Source organism: Homo sapiens, chromosome 17, assembly GCF_000001405.40.
Source record: "Homo sapiens chromosome 17, GRCh38.p14 Primary Assembly".
Classification (NCBI taxonomy): Eukaryota; Metazoa; Chordata; class Mammalia; order Primates; family Hominidae; genus Homo; species Homo sapiens.
The window spans coordinates 35,681,092-35,698,288 of record NC_000017.11 but is presented as its reverse complement, the minus strand read 5'-3'; the positions used below and the strand labels follow the sequence as shown (position 1 = coordinate 35,698,288).

The 17,197-nt window shown below is 40.5% G+C and overlaps 1 protein-coding gene across 13 annotated transcripts in view; it reads right to left on the bottom strand.

Annotated features, from left to right (window-relative positions):
• Window positions 1–17,197, bottom strand: part of AP2B1 (adaptor related protein complex 2 subunit beta 1) — a 139,092-nt gene that overhangs the window by 28,125 nt on the left and 93,770 nt on the right. For all 13 annotated transcript variants that reach the window (XM_011524450.3, XM_005257938.4, XM_047435509.1 and 10 more), the window contains one exon: window positions 15,465–15,594. In XM_011524450.3, the coding sequence (XP_011522752.1) occupies window positions 15,465–15,594 (130 nt within the window). The remainder of the gene's footprint in view (window positions 1–15,464; window positions 15,595–17,197) is intronic.

Here is a 17,197-nt window from a genome sequence, read left to right as displayed (position 1 = left end):
TTCCAACACAAAATCCAGTGCAGCTGGGTGGTTCATTTTTTAAGTCTCACTGAGTGAAAAAAATTCATTTCCAAAGTTGAATTTCAGTTTATGTGTCTCAGTCTTTTCACTCCTTATCACACCGATTTCCCACCAAAGTAAACTTTCTAATAGCAAGTAAAGAAAAACCTGATATTGAAAAGTGCTAGATGACTACCCTTTTTTAAAAACTTTTTTTTCCATTTAAAGGCAAAAGACTGTTTTGAATACCTGAAAAAATTGTTTTCTTAAAAGTAAAGAGAAATAATGAATATCTATTGCTAAAAGACAACTTTTTTGCCCTAGCTTTTGAGACGGAGTCTTGCTCTGTCACCCAGGCTGGAGTGCAGTGGTGGGATCTCAGCTCACTGCAGCCTCTGCCTCCTGAGTTTGTGATTTTCCTGCCTCAGCCTCCCGAGTAGCTGGGACTACAGGCGCATGCCACTACACCCGGCTAATTTTTGTATTTTTGGTAGAGATGGGGTTTCGCCATGTTGGCCAGGCTGGTCTTGAACTCCTGACCTCAAGTGATCTGCCGCCTCAGCCTCCCAAAGTGCTGGGATTACAGGCGTGAGCCACCGTGCCCAGCAGGCACTTGCTTTTAAAGTTTGCCTCCTTACACTTTTGTGTCTATCAGGATTAGGAAAAAGACAGGGTTCTTCTGTTTTCACAGTAAAAAGGGCTTGCTCAGCACCATTTCCTGTCGGGCATCTAAATGATTTCGGTTTTCCCTGAGGCTCCAAAACACTTGTAAGAGCATCCTTGAACTTCCTCATTTACTCTGATTTTGAGCTTCCAAATTTACTCTAGAAATATTAAATTAACCAAAATAGTCTAAGGCTCTTTAGGATAATAATTTAATAGTCTCATGGTGGCAATTTGGTTTTATTTTAAAGAGACATACAGACGTAAGTTAGCAACAGAAAAAATTCCCAAAATGTGAGCACAGTTAACATGTGCTATGTTCCTAGTCATCTCCAGTTTTGAAAACAGGGTCCATTAATGTGCTGTGATCTTGCCTTTCCTAATATCAAGGAAGCAACAGCTTCTAATATTTGCTCTGCCTACTTGAGAGAAAATGAATTTGTGATTGTAGTCTTCAGATTAAACTTGGGACCAGGACCAGACCTATCCAGATAAAAGGGTATTGTATCAGAGTCAGAGGATAGAACGCAAGGCTGCTGAGAAACAACAGGCAGAGGCTGTGTTTAGGGATACTCTGTTTGTTAAGATGAAGAGATAGCCTTGCTTAGTTTGGTTCAAGAACTAGATGAATCTGATGCTGGTTAATACTTTCCTAAATGAAAGCAAAAAGACTCATTCAACAACAAATATTTATCTAGCACCTACTGTGTGCCAGACATCGTTCCAGGCCCTGGGAGACATAGCAGTGGTGGGAAAAACATAGACAAAAACTGCTGTTCCTTTGGAATTTGCATTCTAGTAGGAGAGGAGCAGGAGGTGGTAATAAATAATTAAGTAGTAATTAAAATATAATGAAATGCTATGGGGTAAAAATAAGGGAGACTGGTAGTACTGGGAGTGAAGTGAGAAAATCTTTTATTAAAAAGGTACTATTTAGCCAGGCGTGCGGTGGCTCAGGCCTGTAATCCCAGCACTTTGGAAAGCTGAGGTGGGCAGATCACTTGAGGTTAGTTGTTCGAGACCAGCCTGGCCAACATGACGAAACTCCTGTCTCCAATAAAAATAAAAAAATTAGCCGGGTGTGGTGGCGGGCACCCGTAATCAGCTACTCGGGAGGCTGAACCTGGGAGGCGAAGGTTGCAGTGAGCCAAGATGGCACCATTGACTCCAGCCTGGGCAACAGAGTGAGACTTAAAAAAAAAAAAAAAAAAAGAACTTATTCCTTCTACCTAACTGTATGTTTGTATCCATTAACCTACTTCTCTTCATTCCCCTCACCTCCCATCCTTTGGTAACTATCATTCTATTCTCTTTTTTTGGGTACTACTTTAGTAAAAACCTAAAGTAAGTAAGTAAGCTATACGATATGGAGACTAGGAGAAGGCACATTCCAGACAAGGACAATAGTCAATTAAAAGGTCATGAGGTGGCAGCATACCCTATTCTAAGATAAGTGAGGAGACCAGAATGGCTATAGTGAAGAGGAGGAGTAGCAGATGAAGTTAATGAGGAAAGGAGGGAGGGAAAGGCATAGCTAGATCACCCAAGGTCTTGGAGACCTTTGGTAGGATTTTGCCTTTTCTGCTTAGAAACTGTTAATGCAAGCTCTTCCGAGTGGGCAGATGAAAGTTGCTTAATTCTTGCTATAGCACTGGCCAGTTATACTCATGGTTACCTGAGTTTAACAGTAAACCCTACTTGGCAAATAGCTCAAGTTGTCCTTCAGCCCCACCCCACCCCCACTATTAACATAAATAGTATTCAAAGATGAGACAACGGCAACCAAGGGCATATCAGCCAGTACATGTAGCTGTGTAGCTATCATTAAAGGGAAAAGGAAAGACTGGTGCCTTTCGGCTTATCTCTCAGGCAAGCTGAAAGGCCTGTGAAATTATTGCTGGCTGTTTCTGGCAACTGAAACTATATAGAGTAATTCTGTTGTAGGCTGCTAGAAGTGGAGAGGATTAGGGGCCAATAAAAAAGATTGGTCAGAATAGTATCACAGGGAGGTTATACACTGGCAGAAAGCAGTCACATATACATTTGCTATAAGTTAGATATCTGAGTATAACAGGTAACTTACCTGAGGGTTACTTGAATGGAACAGGCCAGTGGTATAGCAAGAATTAAGCAACTTTCACCAGTATGTGAAAGTCACTGACATAGGTATGCCAGTGACATACCTATGTCACTGGCAGCTGTGTGCCTCACAGGGAACCCAGGATCAAGGGAAAATCATGCTAAGATACACTGCATCTGTTCCTACTCCTGGGTAGCTCCCTCATTTTGAAAGTTTTATAAGTTAAATAAAATAAATCCAGAACTTACAGCAAATGTATATGTGACTGCTTTCTGCCAATGTATAACCCACCTGTGATACTATATTGATCAACCCAGTTACTCTTCAGAAATCTTACTGGCCCCTAATCCTCTCCTCTTCTAGCAGCCTACAATAGAATTACTCTATATAGTTCCAGTTGCCAGAAACAGTCAGCAATAATTTCACAGGCCTTTCAGCCTGCCTGACAGATAAGCCGAAAGGGACCAGTCTTTCTTTTTCCCTTTAATGATAGCTACACAGCTACATGTACTGGCTGATGTGCCCTTGGTTGCTGCTGTCTCATCTTCGAATATTGTTTATGTTAATAGTGAGGGGTGGGAAGAGGGGGGCAGAGGCACAACTTGAGCTATTATTTGCTATGTAGGGCTTACTGGGTTTTTGTTTTGTTTTGTTTTTGTTTTTGAGATGAAGTCTTGCTCTGTTCCCCAGGCTGGAGTGCAACAGCACAATCTCGGCTCACTGCAACCTCCGCCTCCTGGGTTCAAGCGATTCTTCTGTCTCAGCCTCCTGAGTAGCTGGAATTACAGGCGTGTGCCACCATGCCCAGCTAACTTTTTTGTATTTTTGTAGAGACAGAGACAGAGTTTTGCCATGTTGGCCAGGCTGGTCTCGAACTCCTGACCTCAAGTGATCCAACTGCCTCAACCTCCCAAAGTTCTGGGATTACAGGTGTGAGCCATGGCGCTCAGCCTGGGTTTACTGTTAAACTTTAAAAATACATTTAGGCTGGGTGCGGTGGCTCATGCCTGTAATCCCAGCACTTTGGGAGGCCAAGGCAGGTGGATGGCTTGAGCCCAGGACTTCAAGACCAGCCTGGGAAACATAGCCAGACCTCAACTCTACAAAAAATTAAAAAATTAAAAAAAAAAAAAAGTCAGCTAGGTGTGATGGCATGTACCTGTATTCCCAGCTACTTGGGAGGCTAAGGTGGGAAGATCACTTGAGTCCAGGAGGTTGAGGATGCAGTGAGCTATGTTTGTGCCCCTGAACTCCAACGTGGGAAGTTGAGCAAGACCCTGACTGAAAAAAAACAAACAAAAGCATTTAATACATACTGTATTGAATCAAAAAATCGTGAAGGCAAGACTAGAAAACTATCAGTTAAAGTGATTAAAATTCCACTCTAATTTAATATGTCATAGAAGACCTAGTAGAAATTCAATAAAAGAACAAACTTCAGTAATAATAGGCAGTAATTGGTGTCAATGAACATAACTGATTTTTCAATCCAGGGGTAAAACTGATCTAGAATCAAATCTAGGTTCTAGATATTAAGCATACATCCTCAGATTAGTTAGCTGCAAGATAAAAATCAAATGAGTTCACTGTTATGCCTATGTTCTGCCTGGTGGACAGTACAACCTTACGTGGACAAAAGGAGGACACGTGACTGTCAAGATGACTGGACAGATGGGCAGGCCACTGAACACAGATGCTGTCTCTGGGTAGTTCCACTGGGGAAGAAGGTCATATACATATACATATTACTGTCAGGAGCACAGTGGGAGCTATGGAATCGAGAAGTTCTGTGCTTTCCTGTTCTGAGTACTTGCCCTTCAACTCCTTCAGGGGTTCCTGGAAAGGAAGACTGCTACCAAGTCAAGGATCATCTTTCATTCACACACTTTTCAAAAGTGATTAGATAATATTTTCCTTCAGTCTCCAAACTATAACTGATTCCAACTACATTTACCAGGGTCCCTCCTTCTAAATGGATTTTCTTCTAAAATTAGAACAATAAAACTGACATTATATAAATGCCTTTCCATAAACTTAGGCTTTCCTTAAGTAGAAAAAAAAAAGAAAATAAATTCAGACGGAGTATGTTTTCATTACAGGCCCACCTGATTGACTTTCAGGCCCTGGGTGCCTTGATTCAGAAACTTAATTTATAAAAATCTCAAAATGTAGAACTAGGATCTACAGATAGAACCTAAAGGAAGACATTTTATTTCATATAAACAACTAGGTGTGGTGGCTAACGCCTGTAATTCCAGCACTCTGGGAGGTCGAGGTGGGCGGATTACTTGAGGTCAAGAGTTTGAGACCATCCTGGCCAACATGGTGAAAAAACCTCATCTCTACTAAAAATCCAAAAAATTAGCTGAGCGTGGTGGCAGGCACCTGCAATCCCAGCTACTTAGGAGGCTGAGGGAGGAGGATCACTTGAACCTGAGAGGCAGAGGTTGTAGTGAGCTGAGATCACACCATTGTACTCCAGCCTGGGCAACAACAGAGTGAGACTCCAATTTACCGCCCCTCCCCCCACCGCCCCGCGCCAAAGAAAACAAACATAAAAAAACGCCAAATAAACAACTCCGTAACAGGGTTTTATGAAGACAGAATGGGTCATTTAGAGTAGCAAATCACTGGTGGTATTCATGTACACACTGATTTTCCCATCACTGCCAAGAAAGAGGGAATTCCATCAAAAACAGATAGGGTTTGAAACAGACAAAATTAAAGACCATCCCTTCCAACTATGAGATTTTACATTCCTTATGTGTACATGGTCACATGGCTCAAAGCTTTCCTGCAGTTTTATTCAAATATGTATGGGCCTTAATACTACAAAGCCTATGCATAACCCCTTCATTAAAAAGTATGAATAATGTACTTTCTTCCCCATCTCATTAAACATCATGCTATAGCAAAATATAAGAGAGTAAACATGAATGAGAGCAGGGTATGGCTCTCAAATTCAATCCAGCTGAGGAAAAAACTGAGTGAGTTCTCTGTAATTTCAACCTATAATATAGGTTTTTATCAGCTGGGACGAGAAAGAGGTAGCTATTTTACGTCCAGAATTCAAAGTCCTCTACTGCACTACAAGCTAAATCTAAAGACCACAAGGTTAAATCTATTTCTAATCATTTATTAAATTAGAAACATAAAACTAATGCCATTATCCATCATTAACTCCTAGCTTATAATCATGATAAAAAGATGCCTGTGAATTTAACAAATAAAAGCCCACAAATCACTTTTATTACTATTTTAGAACTACTGTGTGAAATTCATTATCCTTTCTCAGGATATCAGCATAGATTTCTATTACTTGGGTAATGTGACCCAAGTTTGGGTGTTTAACTGTCTCCTGACTTTGAGGACAGATTTCTGATCCATCAGACACCTTTGCTTATCAGAATATGGAACTCTTGCCGATTGCTTATGTGTGGCCATTCAAAGAAGACAGTTATTATTAATAGATATACTGCTAAAAGATCCCAGAAACCAGTAGTTGAGTGCTGGTTACAGAAAGACAAAAGATACTGCTTAGTAGACTCTCGATTATCTTGATAAAAAAAGATAAAGGAGTGTTCTCACTAAGGACAATCTAGCAAAAAAGGAATATCTAATACATAATATATTGAATTTCTCAGATGAGATTAAATAATATGTTTATAGTCCTGATGGGACATGAAGAATATGTCAAACTGGAAGTAGCAATCACAGTAAGTAATTTTCTATTTTATTTTTTGACAGCAAAATGTTTTAATCTTTCATAATGAAGACTCCAGTACCTACATACTGCTTATGGAATATTTTAGGTGGAATATTTTTAGGTCTACAGGGATCATTTGGATAGTAGATCCAACGCTGGATCCAACTGTCTGACGTGGGAATCGCTATATAGTTTCCGAAAGATCCACCACTTCAAGGACTCATTATCTATTCAAGGAGCATCGTGGTCCCACAAATGCAATCAGAGTGTGCAGTCCTCAATTGTGGATCTTGGAAGACCAAAGAAGGCTTCAACACTGACTGGTTTGGCTTGCACAACAGTCAAGAAACGTCAGCAAATGCCAAGCTGGTTTGCTTCATTTGATGGGAGCGCTGAAAAGGTCTTCCGCTTGGAAGCGTCTACCAGTTTTTCTGGTACAATAGCTATAGCTGTGGGCTTTCTGAGTGTGAACGGACATATGCAAGACATGAAATATCAGGGACAAGCACCATCTGCAACTGACTGTCTCACAGGCTGGAACTACATGTAGGAGTAGCAAGGGACAGAATTTCCTCAGAGCCATATACCAGCAAAATTTGGCTGACAATGATCTTAAGACATGAATAAACAGGACTGTAAGATCGTGTCCTTTGCAGCTAGTGTCTTCAGCACTTTCTGCCCTAATCAAAGGTTACATGAACAGACTGATGAATATTGCCTTGTTTTAGAAAGATATTCAAAGAAAAAAAAAAGAGACATTGTGTCTATTTCTTTTCTCTAATTAATATTCAGCCTCTTATTCGACAATGTTTATGTGAGATTTAAAGGCAATAAAGACAGGGACAACAAAAACTATATATGGGAAAGGGTCAATTCTTTCTCCACAGGTTCACCTCTAAGGTTCCTAATTATAAAGTTGTATCGCAGGAAGGAAAGAAAAAATGTTAAGGTGCTATCAGACCTCTAGGCAGAGGCAGTAGACTGAAAAATCACATTTAAGTTTCCTTTCTCCTGGAAAAAGTTCTGCCATAACTAAGGGAAAATAAAAAATTTTCAAGGTATAAATTCATAGAGATACTAACAAAAAGATATAACAGCAACAAAAACTTGGTACCTGGAAAACAGATGGATTAGCAATACCACCACAGAATTCTCAAAGGCTTAGGACTGGTAGCACCTCTGGAACTGTATGGTGGGGAGAGGAGGAGAGTGTTAAAAACGAGAGGATTAAGATGTCAATAGGATTTCTAGATACCAACCCCGATTCTATACTGCTGGACAGCTCTTAGGTCTCTAGGCCCTGCACAAAACTGAAGATTGATTCTTTTAGAGAGGATAAAATAGATGGCACTTAGAAGTAAAAGCCAGACATGGCTGAGGGGTGGTGAATTAAATGAATTAATGCATACTGAATGCTAAGACTCTCCAGCCCTCTTTCCCAATTTAGCTCCCCACAAGGCTTGCAGAAAGCCTTTCTATCGTAGACAGAGACTTAAAGATAACTTTGGAAAGAATTGAGCCAGCCCAGTGAGGAAAATTCAGCAAAAAATCAAATGGAAATCCTAGAATTAAAAAGTACAATATCTGAAATGAAAATGCTCTGGATTAGTTTAACAGAAGGTTGTTGCCTATAGAAGAAAGAAGCAGTGTACATGAAGACAGATCAATAGGAATTATCCAGTCTGAAGAACGGAGAGAAAAAAAGATTAAATTTAAAAAAAGCAGCCTCAGTGATCTGAGGGATGATATCCAGTAGTCTAACACATATGTAACTGGAGTTCTAGAAGGAGAGAAGAGACATAATGAGGCAGAAAAAAAATCTGAAGAATGACAAAACATTTCCAAAATTGGGGAAAACTATCAACTTGCAGATCCAAGCTCAGTGAGCTCCAAGCCAGAGAAATACAAGAAAAACAACTACATGCATAATAGCCAAACTGCTGAAAACCAAAGGTAAAAGAAATATGGAAGAGGAGCCTACAGATTGGCACTGCCAACAGAACTTTCTAAAGTAATGTAAATGTTTTACTTCTGCACTGTCCCATCTAGTAACCATTAGCCACACATGTACTTGAAATGTGGCTGATGCAATGATGAAACTGAATTTGTTTGATTTAATTTCAATGTACATAGCCACATGTGGCTAGTGGCTATCATATTAAACAGTGTAGCTAAAGAGACTTAAGAGCTATCAACCCACCATAATATGTGCACTTTACTGATTCAAACACAAATAATAAAACAAAAAAAATTATGACAAAATCTGAACATTGATTCGATATGTGATATTAAGGAATTCTTGCTAATTTTTTAAGTTGTGAGAATAGTTATTGTAGTTAAATTTTTTAAAAGAGACCTATTTTAAAGACACATACTGAGCTGGGGGTGGTAGCTCATACCTGTAATCCCACAAGGGCGGATCACCCAAGGTCAGGAATCCGAGACCAGCCTGGCCAACATGGTGAAACCCCGTCTCTACTAAAAATACAAAAATTAGCTAGGTATGGTGGCACGTGCCTGTAATCCCAGCTACTCGGGAGGCCGAGGCAAGAGAATCACTTGAACCCGGGAGGCAGAGGTTGCAGTGAGCTGAGATTGCACCACTGCACTCCAGCCTGGGCGGCACAGCGAGACTCCATCTCAAACAAACAAAATACGAGACATACTAAAATACTTACAGATTAAGTGATATAAATGTCTGGGATTTGTTTCAAACAATAGAGTAGGGTTATGGAAAGGGGTATAAATGATATTAACCATGGATAATTATTGAAGCTGGATGATGGGTACACAGGGGCTCGTTATACTATTCTGTTTACTTCTGCAATGTTAAAAATGTTTCATAAAAAAGTGTTTTTCTTTTCTTTTTGAGATAAAGGCTTGTGGCTCGTTCTGTCACGCAGGCTGGAGTGCAGTGGCGTAATCTCAACTCACTGCAACCTCTGCCTCCCTGGCTCAAGCAATTCTCCTACTTCAGCTTCCTGATTAGCTGGGACTATAGGCGTGTGCCACCATGCCTGGCTAATTTTTGTATTTTTAGTAGAGATAGGGTTTCGTCAAGTTGGCCAGGCTGGTCTTGGACTCCTGGCCTTAAGTGATCCGCCCTCCTTGGCCTCCCAAAGTGCTGGAGTTACACGTGTGAGCCACTGTGCCTGTTCCCATAAACAAGGTTTTAAAAAGTAGAGCAAAAGGAAAAAGGGATGGAAAATAGGAGGGGAAAACAGAGTCAGTCCAGGAGAATCAACATCCAAATAGCAAGACGTCTGATAAGAAATAGAGAAAATGAAGGGGAGAGCAGCAGCAAAGAAGTTAAAGACAAATTCCTAAAATTGAAGGACATGAGTTTCCGGTTTTAAAGAACCCAATGAGTACCCAGCATGATGGGTGAAAAGACAGAGTCACAATGAGGCACATCACTGAAATTTAAAACACTGGGGACAAAGTACAAGCTTTCACTGAGAAAAAAACAGGGCTAAAGCAAGTATCAAGAATCAGAACGGCTTCTGATTAGGAGGAAAATGATTCCTAACCTAGTATGAAGACAGACTAAAACAGACATTTAAAAACATGTAAAGGCTCAAACCTATGGAATAGTCTACATACCTATTCTCAGGAAACCACTGGAAAATGTGTTTCATCAAAAGAGGGAGTAAACCAAGAAAAGGACACTATAACAGGAGATCCTGAGTAGGAGAGAGCTGATGAAGGGAATGAATCTCCAGGGTTAAGATGAAAGGAGGTCCCAGGAAGACAGCTATGTTCCAGGCATTCAAGTAAATCAGTCTAGAAGAGACTTTAAGAAAGGGAAACCAATAGTATACTTTGAAGGGTCTGATCTCAATGGAATTTGGGATTGAATTACAGTTAAAAACACCAACATAAATGGGTATTAACTCCAATTATCTACAAAAAGTTTTATTGAGGAAAAATCACTTTAATATATGGCTCAGCTTCAAAGAATATATGCAGTCATAATAATGTAAACACTGGGCAGGGTGTGGAGGCTCATACCTGTAATTCCAGCACTTTAGGAAGCTGAGGCAGGAGGATCACTTGAGCCCAGGAATTTCAGACCAGCCTGGGCAACACAGTGAGACCCCATCTCTACATAAAAATAAAAAATTAGCTAGGCGTGGTGACACACACCTGTAGTCCCAGCTACTTGAGATTCTCCTAAGGTAGCAGGATCGCTTGAGCCTAGGAGTTTGAGGCTGCAATGAGCCATGATTATACTACTGCACTTCAGCCCGGGTGACTGAGCAAGATTTTATCTCTTAAAAAAAAAAATTGATGTAAACATTGAACACTGATTTAAGTAAATTTTAAGATAGTTCTGTCAGAAAAAATGGGAACATGAAAAGTATGTAGATGATGGCAGTGAGTGGGGACATGTACAGGAATATCTAAAACAGAAAAATCCAGCTGGGTGTGGTGGCTCGCACCTGTAATCCCAGTGCTTTGGGAGGTCAAGGTGGGAGGATTGCTTGACCGCAGGAATTTGAGACCAGCCTAGGCAACATGGAGAGACCCCGTCTCTACAAAAAATTTTAAAAAATATAAATTAGCTGGGTGTAGTGGTGTGCTCCTGTGGTCCCAGCTATTCGGGAGGCTGAGGTGGGAGGATTGCTTGAGCCCAGGAGGTGAAGGCTGCAGTGTCTCATGACTGCACCATCAGCCTGGGTGACAGAGTGAGACCCTATCTCAAAAAAAATAAATAAATAAAAATCCAGGAGTCCCAATATGAGCATGTTATTTAGGTAATTATCAAAAGAGGTGAACGAAATTGGCTTTGTGGGAGGAGATATTGGAGGTCTTGTTAGGGAGAAAAGTCTCAGGACTGGGTTTTTCTTTTCTTTTCTTTTTGAGACGGAGTCTCGCTCTGTCACCCAGGCTGGAGTGCAGTGGCGCGATCTCAGCTCACTGCAAGCTCCGCCTCCCGGGTTCACGCCATTCTCACGCCATTCTCCTGCCTCAGCCTCCCAATTAGCTGGGACTACAGGCACCTGCCACCATGCCTGACTAATTTTTTTTGCATTTTTAGTAGAGACGGGGTTTCACCGTGTTAGCCAGGATGGTCTCGATCTCCTGACCTCGTGATCCGCCCACCTCAGCCTCCCAAAGTGCTGGGATTACAGGCGTGAGCCACCATGCCCGGCCAGTTTTTCTTAAATAATTGTAGAATTAGTTGGCTCTTTAAACTGTGCTTTTATCATCCTGAAAACTTGAAAGAATGATGCTATCAATGTTCTCAAAAGAGTTTATGGCCCTGGAAAAAGGAGGCCAAGCAGCTGTGGGAACCCTGCAGCATCTACATAAAGACCATGAGCATTACCCTGGAGATGAACACGTTAAATCATAATTCCACTGTCTCCTTGCAGACACTGACTTGAAAAAGCAGTCCAAGTTTGAAGAAGTTCACTGGGAAAATGTTTCTAAGCACAACTAACACACGAAATGAGAAACAAGGACATCAAGAGTCAGAGAAAACTCATTTAGAGGAAACACATTTAGACACTTATTAAGGTTTCTGCTGTATTTAAACAGAGAGAATCAATTCTCTTTTTAAGGAATATAATTACGTGATATAAATAAACTCAAGAAAGGCTCCCAGTAGGAGCAAGCTTAACTTTACTTTGTATAATGTTTATAAGCTGATTCACAAAAGCTTTTACAGTCGATGTCAGTATAGTAGAAAAATTCTTCCAGGTTCAAATCTCTACTAGGTATTTAATTCCCATATTTAAGGCATAATGTATTTTACATTTTAAGAATGAATAGGCAGGGCATGGCAGCTCACGCCTGTAATCCCAGCACTTTGGGAGGCAGAGGCAGGTGGATCACCTGAGGTCAGGAGTTCGAAACCAGCGTGGCTAACATTGGTGAAACCCCGTCTCTACTAAAAATACAAAAATTAGCTGGGTGTGGTGGCAGGTGCCTGTAATCCCAGCTACTCAGAGGCTAAGGCTGGAGAATCGCTTGAACCTGGGAGGCGGAGGTTGCAGTGAGCCAAGATTGCACCATTGCACTCGAGCCTGGGTGACAAGAATGAAACTCCATCTCAAAGAAGAAAAAAAGAATGAATGGTATCTTTTAAATTTTTAAATAGTGTTTCAAATAGTCTATAAGCCAATAAGTAGTTTAATGAGTGTTCTGATGAAAAGTTTTTATAATAAGTTTTATACTACAGTTCTGGCAGCTGGGCTTGATTTAATTGTTCTACACATTGATATTAAATTAGCCAAAATAGCTAAAATCCACATGGAATTCAAAATTTCATTTCCTCAATCCCCAACATTTTTTTTTCCCAATTTTATGGTCTGTAGTACTAGAAAAATACTAATTTTCCCACATGAGCTCTTGAATCTAAACATTATACAAATATATTTAAAAGCTAGATCAATCTTTACCTGGCTTTATCTGGATGTATATATAGTTTAACCTTGTTGGAATGATGTTTTGATTTTCTTCTTGTTCATACGGGGAAAAGGGCAGAATGGAAGCTGAAATCTAAAGTACCCTACACATCCCTAAGCTAGCCATTACATTAGTTCCAACTCTCACCAGCATACACTAAGTAGAGCTGCTCACAGGGGGAAAAAGTTTTTCTCTTTTCAAGTTTTGTTTATCATATCCATTGGGAAATGCCAATTAATGAGAAAATAGCCACAATTATGACATCCCCAAAAGAAGAGAATCCATGTGGGAAACTTGAAAAATCAGTAGTTAACTATAGATGGAAAAATTTAAAGTTTGCTTCTTATAATATCAGGTTTATGAAAATTAAAACTTGCTAGTTCTAATATCACATCAATACTTTTGAGGAAAGGGTTGGACTAAGATTCAACTTCTCTTGTGAGGGTTCCTGTTCAGGAGTTAGTCAAATGGAAATGCCAACAGGAAAGTAAACTGACATTCATTAATTTGTTTACTGTTTCTTTTCTTTTTTTTCTTTTCATTTTAAGAGCAGAAAATTTGCCCTGGTTTCTGTGACCCAAATTCTCTTTCCTACTTATGAGGTAAAGCATTCTTGCGTGCATGCTGACTGTCCTCAAATATTAGGCTTGAGGCTCTGTGGCCAATGGGAGGTTAGATTTCAATGAAAAGGGAACAGATGTAGATTTGGGTTAAGTTTCTTCAGGATCCTGTGCTGGAAAAGCCCCTTAACACATTACTGTCATCATAGTAACAGCCAATTCCATCTGCATAGTAATCCTTGCTTTATTCTTCTTGTCTGAGCCAAGTTACATTGTGACTCACTCGTCTACCCTCTAAATCATTATTCCCTTTGCTGAAAAAAAGGCAGTCAACTACTGTGGCAACAAGGTAGTTAGTGAACTGGCAAACAGGCCTGCTGTGCTGGTATTTAAATGACTGAAGAATGTTTAGTTTTACCTCCAAGATATTTTACTATTGACGTCTCACCATCAATACTAGTATCTCACACAGGTATTTCTAGATTAAACAATGGGATCCCACCTGTCTTGACTGGAAAGAGGAAAGCTGACATTTTTCTTTCATCATTTTAAATATATTTCATAGTCTCATTCAGACTGTTCTATCTTAAGCTCTTAGTGGGGGTGGGGACAGTACCAGTCCTCCTCTTTGCAATGTCTTTTGACTATCCTTCACAGTGTATCTTTCTCTCTCTCTCCTGTTAAATTGTGAGCTCACTTTCAGTAGAGACTTTCTTTTCAGCTGGGGGTCTTGAAGGCCCTAAATTTAAAACTGTTGTTAAAGGGCTGCTTTGTATTTGCTTCTGACAGGACTCTAGGTTTCACCAGTCCTGGGCCAATTTTATATTAATTTATTGATTTGGAGGTTACTACACCTACATAAGTAGTGTAAATTTGGAATATATAACTCATCTATGGCATTGATTGGGCCTTGAATTTCTCACAAGGGGCTATACCCAGAACCCTGCTCAGAAATTTCCTATCATCTTTGGGAGATGGCGAAAACATTTTCCTAGTTCTCCTTTCTTTGAGGGAGCTGCCCTTCCAGGGTCTCTGCTTTATGCAGGGATCGATTACAGTTCCCCATTTCTGGGTGGCCCAAGGCTTTCTTCCTGTTCTTGTGAACATTAAAACCATAACCGCTAGCAACCTCCAGGGTTGCTACAGTTCTGACTTATGAGCTTACTGCTCTGCCTTCATGTTGCCTGAAGCCCAGAAGGTTTATATTTCAAAGGAAACTTCGAGGTAGGTGAAAACTGAATGAAACTCTAAGCTGACACCCAAGCATTCTAAAAAATTCGACATTTTCAAGATAAAGAGGCTCTTGTAGACCACATAAAATTCTTCTAAGATGCTGTTATACTTATCATAGATAGGTGCTAATGGGGCATTTAAATCCAAACAGCCTAGCTACCTGTGGTCCAATGTTCAATGATAACCTCCATATAAATCTCTTCTTATATTAATGACATTCAAATTTTGCTATAAAAGTCTTAAGGAAAAAAGGTTTACAAATAAGAAGTTAAGAAAAAAGTTTCTAAGTGTTTGTTGAGTAAAAGAATGAATATCTATGTCATGCATGACTTTTGTTTTTCTTAACAACAAAACATAAAACTCTCGTCCACAAAGATTTATTTCAAATCCGATTCCATGACTAACTCAAACCTAAGGAAGAAAGAGGGACTTTTTTACATGTAAATGAAAAATTGGGCGAGGCGCGGTGGCTCATGCCTGTAATTCCAGCACTTTGGGAGGTCCATGTGGGCAGATTACTCGAGGTCAGGAGTTCGAGACCAGCCTGGCCAACATGGTGAAACCCCATCTCTACTAAAAATACAGAAATTAGCCAGGCGTGGTGGCTTGTGCCTGTAATCCCAGCTACTTGGGAGGCTGAGGCAGGAGCACCATTTGAACCCAGGAGGCAGAGGTTGCAGTGAGCCAAGATCGCACCACTACACTCCAGCCTGGGCAACAGAGTAAGACTGTGTCTTTAAAAATAATAATAATAATAATAATTGTCAAGATATTAACTTGTACCACCTGAGTGAAGTAAATCTCTGACCTGGAGGTTATTCAGAGGTTCCATCTTCATGACTGGGCCCAAGGTATTGAGAGGCAGGGAGACATCAATGCTCTGGTTTGGCATCAGTGGTGTATGGATGGCCAGAGGAGTGCTGGGGATGACACCAAAGCTAGAAGAGAGGATACATAAATCACAGAGGTTAATCAAGAGGCAGAATTTAGGCTGGGCATGGTGGCTCATGCCTGTAATCCCAGCATTTTGGGAGGCTGAGGTGGGTGAATCACCTGAGGTCAGCAGTTCAAAACCAGCCTGGCCAACATGGTGAAACCCTGTCTCTACTAAAAATACAAAACATTAGCCGGGCGTGGTGGCGGGTGCCTGTAATCCCAGCTACTTGGGAGGCTGAGGCAGGAGAATCGCTTGAACTCGGGAGGCGGAGGTTGTAGTGAGCCGAGATCGCACCATTGCACTCCAGCCTGGTCAATAAGAGTGAAACTCCATCTCAAAAAAAAAAAAAAAAAAAAAAAAAGAGGCAGGATTTTGCCATATCTTTGGGTTTTAATGGCATTTTGCTCCATTTAAAGGAAACTTTTTTTTTTTTTTGGAGATAGGGTCTCATTCTGTCACCCAGGCTGGAGCAAAGTGGCATGATTTCAGCTCAGCTCACCACAGCCCTCAACTTCCAGGTTTAAGTGATCCTCGCACATGAGTCCCCCAGGTAGCTGGGACTAGAGGCATGCACCATCATGCCATGCTAATTTTTGTATTTTTAGTAGAGATGGGGTTTCACCGTGTTGGCCAGGCTGGTCTCGAACTCCTGAGCTCAAGCAATTTGGTCACCTTGGCCTCCCAAAGTGCTGGGATTACAGGTGAGGAAACAAAATTTTTAATACAATTAAATAAAAGGGATAGCAGGAATCAAGGTGCTCAATGCCAATTTGCTATAACACTGGTTACATCATAATTTTCTGTTTTCCATTAAATGAATTTGAGGAAGGAGAAAATATTCTTAAGTGCAGAACTGCTTTGCTAGTGCTATAACTCTGAAAGTTCCTTCTCTTTAAAACGTCACTAGAGGGCAGGTTTGATGAATATCATTTTTAATAAATCTTTCCTTAGATAATTCTTGGGAGAAAGAAGAATTAAGAATTTCCACCCTGAGGCCAGGTGTGGTGGTTCACGCCTGTAATCCCAGCACTTTGGGAGGCTGAGGCAGGAGGGTCACTTAATATAATGAGACCGTGTCTTTACTGCCCACCCCCCACCAAAAAAAAAGTAATAAAAGAAAACAAATTAGCTGGGCATGGTGGCACACGCCTGTAGTCCTAGCTACTCTGGAGGCTGAGGTAGGAGAATCACTTGCTTGATCCCAGGCATTAGAGGTTGCAGTGAATTGTGACTGCATCACTGCAGTCCAGCCTAGATGACAGAGCGACACCCTGTCTTTAAAAATACAAAAACAAAAACGAAAACCAATTTCTACTCTGTAAAGAGAAGTATAATAAATTATTTTACAGGCTTGATAACCTGACTGATAAGTCCAGAGGATTATTTACTGGTAATTCTCACTTTCCTTTTTTTTTCACTTACATAGGACACAATCACTGGGAAAGAGCTAGTCTAAGTGGCATTGACTGGCTTATAAATTCCAAACAATTAGGATAAGTTGTAGAGCCAAACATGGCCACTTTCTAAGCTTCAGGCAGGCAATGAATAGCTACCAGTTTTATCCAGGAAAACTTGTTTAATAATATAAGAATGGTAAAGAGATG